The following is a 7,875-nucleotide window of genomic DNA, read 5'->3' as shown; positions in this document are numbered from 1 at the left end:
AAATGATTTTTAGGAAAGATGAATGAGCCCTGAGAAAAGTACATGGGAGATACGATAGTTTATGACAAGGTTTGTCTGGGTGTAGTGCCAAATTTAGTCTCCTCTACTATGATAAGGGTCAATTTTTTTTTTTTTTTTTGAGACGGAGTCTTGCTCTGTCGCCCAGGCTGGAGTGCAGTGGCACCATGTCGGCTCACTGCAAGCTCCACCTCCCGGGTTCACGCCATTCTCCTGCTTCAGCATCTGGAGTAGCTGGGACCACAGGCACCCACCACCATGCCCGGCTAATTTTTTTTTGTATTTTTAGTAGAGATGGCGTTTCACCGTGTTAGCCAGGAAGGTCTCGATCTCCTGACCTGGTGATCCGCCCGCCTTGGCCTCCCAAAGTGCTGGGATTACAGGTGTGAGCCACCGCGCCCTGCCATAAGGGTCAATTTTACCTGGTTGATGAAACTCCTGGGGAGGAGATTGACTACAATTGTGTTCCTTTTGAAGTATCTGACCTTGGGCAAATAAGGGGAATTCAGAGAAAGCCTCTCTCTGCATTTGCTGTTTTGCAAATGCCTTCAGCTCAAAATAATATACCTGTCATTCAAGAGACCACCTGGATGGTGAAATAGTAGGAAGCTGAACTTTATTGGTAATTTCAATTCGCAAGCTGACAAGAGACAGTCTCAGGTGTGTGCTAAAGGTGCTCCGTCTCCAAAGAGGGGAAGAGCCGGTTGGATTTTATGCCTCACAGGTTCCGCATTACACAGCAGAATCATACATATTCAGCAGGTTTTGGGGAAAAGCTATACATATTTATGAGGGGAGCTGAGTGTGTGCACAAGGATACACATACATGTAACATACATCCCGTGTTCATTTTTTTGCAGGGTTTTAGCATTAAATTGGGGTGAAATTTGGCTCTTTATGTTAAAAGGTGAACTACAGGAAACAAAGACAGTTTGTGCACAGCCTCTACAAGCTGGCTGAAACTGGCTTACGGTCTGCAGTAAGAGAATATTTAGGCCGGGCACGGTGGCTTACCCCTGTAATCCAACACTTTGGGAGGCTGAGGCAGGTGGATCACGAGATCAGGAGTTCAAGACCAGCCTGGCCAACATGGTGAAACACCATCTCTACTAAAAGTACAAAAATTAGTCGGGTGCGCTGGCAGGCACCTGTAATCCCAGCTACTTGGGAGGCTGCGGCAGAGAATTGCTTGAACCTGGGAAGCAGAGGTTGCAGTGAGCTGAGATCGTGCCATTGCACTCCAGCCTGGGCAACCTAGTGATACTCAGCCTCAAAAAAAAGAAAAAAAAAAAAAAAGTTTAGAAGGCCAGTCCTCTGTCCAATCAGAGCTGTAGTGGTCTGGGTTGTATTAAGAGCGTGGTTTTTCTTGTAGCCCTAGGAATTCAAAAATTTGCCAGGCCACCTGGGCCCTTTGCCTTTGATCTGTTAAGTAACTTTGTTTAACCTTAGGGACCATCTTAGTTGATAAAGGCGCATCTATTTTGTTCTCTCAGATCACGTATGTGCCAAAACAACATATCCTGGGGTGGTATGTCCTGAAGTCCTTCAATACCTCTGGATAATAAATCTGCAATCTCTTCCTGTGTGTGAGGTTTTAAACTCCCTTTCTCCTCTTTCCCCTGAGTTTTGCCATCTTAATTTATTGAAAGGTATTTGACATGACATCTTGAACTCTTGTACTTTACAAATGATTTCGTGTGAACTTCTCTGTGTGTCAGGGGAAGCTCATTCTTCCCGGGGGGCTGAACAGGTAGCAAGAGAGCAGAAGGGAACTTCCTGTGCTGGGTGCCCAGAGCTCTGCCTGGACTGACCCTGCGAAGGGGAATCGCTGTCTTCAAGTCAGAGACTGTGCAGACAACAGCTTTGATGCCATCTTCATGTCTCCAAATTGAAGGCAGCACAATTGGATTGAGAAACTGTTATGAAGCAGTATTTCCTTGAGAAGTTTCCTGAATCTGAACAGCCCCAGACAAGCCCCTCCCACGCAGCAGGTGGCCTTCAATCTAAGTCCACACAGGCTCATTAGAATCAGATTTTGTCATTTCTCAAATCACCTGTGGATCTTGTTACCACACAAAGTCTGATACAGTGGGTCGGGTTGAGGTCGCATTTCTGCATTTCTAACAGGATCCAGGCTGACCACACTTGAAGCAGCAAGGTCCTAGCTTAACCCCTTACTTTACAGGTAGGTGGTACCTGTACAATTAGCTGGCTTAGCAAATTACCTGGAGTCAGGCAGATATTTAGCAGCAGGGCCAGGACTAGAAGCCAGATTTCCTGATTTTCAGTGAAACACTCTTAGCCAAATATTTTATAACACTTCTTCTCCCATAACATCCCCAATATTTAGCATTTTTGGGTCTTAATATATGCAGATTTTAATGATATCCAATTTACTGCTTACTGTTGAGGGTATAAATTTTACTTTTTGGATAATTTTACTTCAATACTGTGTGTGTGTGTATATATATATATAAAATTTTTCTTAAAAGGTTGAATTGAGTTTTAATTTTTTTTCTTAACCAAAAGGTGCTTGATTGTCTTGGAATCAATTAATTAGTTGATTAATATGAAGCTTGGGAAAAAAGTTTGAGAAAAGATACATCACATTTCCATAACTGAGATCTTTAGCAAAACCATAAAGCTGGGAAGAACCTCGTATTTTATTGACATTGAGGCCTCCTTCTTCTACACTAACCTTGATACATAAGCAAAAGAAACAATAGTGAAGTGAGACTAATCAGAAAGAGAGGACTGGAAAGAAACAGGCAAGGTTGTGAGCTAGAACTGCTCTGTCTCAACAAATGAACACACAGAGGTGAAAGGCTTTGTAAAACATACATTCAAATGCCAGATATAAAGCATAAAAAAAGATAAAACAGTAGTCATATCTGGGTGTGGAATCACATATCAATTTTTAAAAACAACAGAGTTGATCTGAATTATTTGGCTTAAGTGCACTGGCTATCGAAAAATTCAGTGATTTAACTATTTGCATATCGAGCATTGCCCTGAAGCAAGACTGAAAGTTATTTTCAGAAAGGGATGGCTCGCTTTCTCCCACATGGTGACCAGTACAGTTCCTCTAAAGGAGCTCACATTGATAAAGTATTGGAAGTAATTTTCTGGGTCAAGCTCTGCATTACAACAAATAGGGAATCAACCAGCAAAGTAAGCCTTGCTTACTCTTTTTTGAAACTGCAGTTCCTTTTGCTGCAGCCTAGATTGTTACACAAGCAAATAAATCCTTTTAATTGGCCCACCCTCGGGGGCAAACAGCTCACCCTAGTAAGTAATCATACAGAAGAGTGGAGGCTGGTAAGGTGGGGTGTATCCTGCTGAACAATTTTTGCTTTTATTTTACCAACCGATTTTAAAAGGCAGCATTGTAACTTGGCATTAAATATTTAAGAATGATATTAAGGTAAGATTGATTCATTTAGCAGGCATAATGGAGTGGGGAAGCCTCATGGAGTGACTAAAGGGCTTCACAGTGGGAAATCTATGCTAGCAGGCATCAATCCGCACCTGGTAATGGCCATGAATAAACTCGCCTTCTTGCTATTTAAATAAATTGATGTGCAATTCATCTGCTGTTTAGAGCCATTGGAAATGCACTGCACTAACTCTGTTCCTTGGCAAGCATCCCGATTAAGTGCCTGGGCCATTTATCAGAGTGCCAAGTGTAGTTCAAGTTGTTACCAAGCTTCTACCATTTACCAAAATGGCAATTTGTTCTAAAAGGGGCTATAGGATATGGGAAAAGTGGCAGAGTGTGGTAGAAAAGATACTGGACTCAAGACAACTGCAGTTCAAGGTCTGACTTCCTACTAGAGCAGGCATCATTGAAACTCCCCAAAATTGTTTCTTTACCTCTGTAATGGAAAGAATAATGTACCTGCTTTACTTACTTGTGAGGCAAAAACAGAGTAATAAAAGTGAAAGCACATTTCACTTTAAAAAGTACTATTCAAATTATGAGTTATCACTAAGAGCATAATTCGTGCAGAGACACAGTAATGCCCACCATTTATTTCCGCTAGTGTTTTACACTGTTCCCTCTCTTCCCCTTTTTTGTCTTGATCAGACAATCTCAGGGCAGGGTGGAGAATGAAAGTGTCAACCTTTTAAAAGGCTCACACCTTATGAGATACATAGGTTTGTATTTCTTGGCGCTGAAATGTTCAGACTAGTCTTTTAGTTTTATTAGCCACTTCTTGGTGATATATAAATCAATAAGAGAGCACTTTAAAAGCACTTAAAATAGGTATGATCATAAAGAGCAGCTAGCTAATTTGAGAATTTTATTTATTTTATGATAAGAATTTTCATAGATTCCTGTTGATTCCAGTCATTCTAAAACATGCCATTTACCCTTCAGTCTTTCCTAGTTGGATGTGTTTGGCAGATTGGTTGTGGAATGTAGAAATATGATTTATGCCTTTTAATTTTAGAGAAATGTAACTCAGAACAAATTACATCCATGCTTTGCATTGAAATGGGAGTTCAGGAAAACAAACTGCTTACCTTTCAATAATGAATTATCTCCCACTGAAAAGTCAGAAACAAGCAATAAGATGGGTTATAACAATCTGTGGTCCATGTGTCTCTACTGATTCAATTAAATGAAGTACACAGTAGCCCACTAAAAATGCATTGATAGAGTGTGTGTATTAGGAATTGTGTTGACTTAAGTTGTTTACCATTCTGATCCCTTTGTTGTTTGCTTTTCTCATTATCTTCTACACATTATTAAATACAATCGTTAATAAGATGGCTGACTATAGTTTGCTGATCTTATTTAATCATTAATATCTAATATACTTCAATATCCTGTATGATTAAACCTGATGGCTGACTTAGTCAAATGAAGATATTTCCATTAAGGGCAAACAGTGCAACCATAATTCAACTACATCCCATAAGATCCTATGCAGGGTCTCTTTTTATATAGCAAGGTGATATTTTCCAACCCCTCTCACTATACTCTGGCAATTGCCATTATATAGGCTATAACTCATTCGTCTACTCAGCTTTCTTCTATTGATTTTTATCTTTCCTGGCTAACTGTTATGAGAATAATGTTTCCAACAAGAATCTAGTTGGTATCAAGTTGTTTTTCATGGGAACCAGCATTTGCAAAGAACTTTACTATAACCAGTGTGTGCAAAAAAGAACCCTACTATACTGGTAAAGTTTAGAGAAAAAACTTCTGGCCACTCTCTTCCCAGATTTGCTTGAAACAGAATTTCCAGTAGTTTTTCTTTCTTTCTTTTTCTTTTTCTTTTTTTTTTTGAGACAAGGTCTCACTCTGTCGCCCAGATTGGAGTGCAGTGGCGTGATCTCAGCTCATTGCAACCTCTGCTTCCTGGGCTCAAGTGATTCTCCCACCTCAGCATCCCAAGTAGCTGGGATCACTTGAGGGCCACCACTACACCTGGCTAATTCTTGTATTTTTCTGTAGAGATGGGGTTTGCTATGTTGCCCAGTCTTGTCTTCAACTCCTGAGCTCAAGCGATCTGCCCGCCTTGGCCTCCCAAAGTGCTGGGATTACAGGTGTGAGTCACCACTCCTGTCCTATTTTTTTAATGGAACATTCTTCACAGGATATTAAGAAAGAAATAGTGGTAGTAGATTGTTATGAACTGCCTGTTTGTGCCCCTCCAACTGCCTGTTTGTGCCCCTAGATTCATATGTAAAAGCCCTAACTTCCAATGGGATGATATTAGTAGGTGAGAGGCCTTTGGAAGTTAATTAGTGTTCTTCTAAAAGGAGGAGACTAGAGCTTTTCCCCTTTTCCCTCCGTGTGGGGATACAGCCAGAAGATGGCTGTCTGTAAACAAGGAAGGGGGCCTTCATCAGATACTGATTTTGCTGGCACCTTAATCTTGGACTTCACAGCTTCCAGAACTGTAAGAAATAAATTTCTGTTTTTCAAGCCCCCCAGTCTGTGGTGTTTTTGTTAAAGCAGTCCAAACTGACTCAGGCACATGCAGAACACATTTTCTTGAACCACAAAGCAATGAAATGGATAATAACTTAAAAAATATGAGGAAAAATAAATCCTTCTAATCAGGTAAACATGGTGCCTGCAGGAATCAACACTGCAATCTTACAAAATAATTGGTACCAATACAGTGACTTCAAGGGTGCACTCCTCTGTTCAGGGCAGAAATACTTCAAGAATTGCCTTGCTTTGCCATTTAAGTTTCAAAAATAGGTTAATAAAGTTAAGTTTTGGCAGGGCATGGTGGCTCACACCTGTAATCCCAGCACTTTGGGAGGCCAAGGTGGGCGGATCACGAGGTCAGGAGATCAAGACCATCCTGGCTAACATGGTGAAACCCTGTCTCTACTAAAAATACAAAAAATTAGCCGGGCATGGTGGTGGGCACCTGTAGTCCCAGCTACTCGGGAGGCTGAGGCAGGAGAACGGCGTGAACCCGGGAGGCAGAGCTTGCAGTGAGCTGAAATCACGCCACTGCACTCCAGCCTGGGCAACAGTACAAGACTCCATCTCAAAAAAAAAAAAAAAAAAAAAAAAAAAAGGTTAAGTTTTAAAAATAGTTTAAAATTTACCAAAATCTTTCTTAGTTCACTAAAAAAGTAAAACTTAACTCTGTGCTGAGTAGTCTATGTTAGTGGAATTATCCAATTTTTACTGTAGGGCTATTATAAGAAGTTTAGATTGAGGCAATCTGTGATTTATAACACTAAATACTGAGATTAAAAAATCAATTTTCACAATTTTTGGGTGAATTCATAAGATGTATAAAGAAAATAATTTTTGGTGAAAAATGATTGTTTTGAAATGCCATCTAAAATTATAATAACAGAAAATTAATCTGTAGTCTGCTCATATAAGCTTGTTAAAATAGGTATTTTCAGCTCTTAATATGATGAATGTTGGTAAAGGTATAATATGAAAAAATTATAAATGAGTTCTATTATTTCCATTATCCGTTTTCTACAAATAATAGATAGAGTAGATGTGGCTAAGTAGTTCTTTCTTTATTTCTAATTGTGTGTACACAATATAAAACTTTTGGAGCGAGTGATACTTTCTTTATAGTCCTACTTATTTGAACGCTCTGTGTGCCTTAGTTTCCTCATTCCTAAATTAAAAAAAATCATTGACACTTTTCTCATTGGGCTGCTGTGAGGATCAAATAAATGAAGACACACAAAGTTTAGATCCTGGAACACAGTAAGTGCTCAATAAATAACTATGTTATTATCACTATTAATATTACTGGCTGCTCTATTGAAATCCATTTGTGCACCAGCCTCACCTAGATCGTGCCTATTCCTCCCAATTTTCCTTCTTTCCCTCTGTCTATGCAAAAGTTAGCCTCATACTGCTATAAAGTAATACCTGAGACTGGGTAATTTATAAAGAAAAGAGGCTTAATTGGCTCATGGTTCTGCGGGCTATATAGGAAGCATGGCAGCATCTGCTTCTGGGGAGGCCTCAGGGAGTTTTACTCATGGTGGAAGGCAAGGCAGGAGCAGGCATCTTCACATGGCCAGAGCCACCTTCACAGAAGGTGAGAGAGCAGAGAGGTGCTACACACTTTTAAACAACCGGATCTTATGATATCTTACTCTCACAACAACAGCACCCAGGGGATCGTGCTAACCCATTCACAAGAACTCCGCCCACATGATCCAATCACCTCTCACCAGGCCCCACCTATAACACTGGGATTACAATTCAACAGGAGACTTGGTGGGGACATAGATCCAAACCATGTTAGCCTCCTTTCAAGATTCTTTCCTCAGAGTTGTGAAACCTTTCCTGAGCCAAGGCTTTCCTTTTATGGTTCTGCAGGTTGTATTTGGCAAAATGCCAGGGAG

The 7,875-nt window shown here is 40.3% G+C and overlaps 1 annotated feature.

Annotated features, from left to right (window-relative positions):
• Positions 3,072-3,849: an enhancer, noted in NCBI's record as "OCT4-NANOG hESC enhancer chr11:100421613-100422390 (GRCh37/hg19 assembly coordinates)". NCBI's record gives its function as "activates a minimal SCP1, AML or CMV promoter by ChIP-STARR-seq in naive and primed H9 embryonic stem cells {active_cell/tissue: H9 hESC(naive and primed)}" and the evidence as "EXISTENCE:reporter gene assay evidence [ECO:0000049][PMID:30033119]".

The sequence above is a fragment of the Homo sapiens genome, chromosome 11 (assembly GCF_000001405.40).
Source record: "Homo sapiens chromosome 11, GRCh38.p14 Primary Assembly".
Lineage (NCBI taxonomy): Eukaryota > Metazoa > Chordata > Mammalia > Primates > Hominidae > Homo > Homo sapiens.
This window is presented reverse-complemented; position numbering and strand designations above follow the sequence as displayed.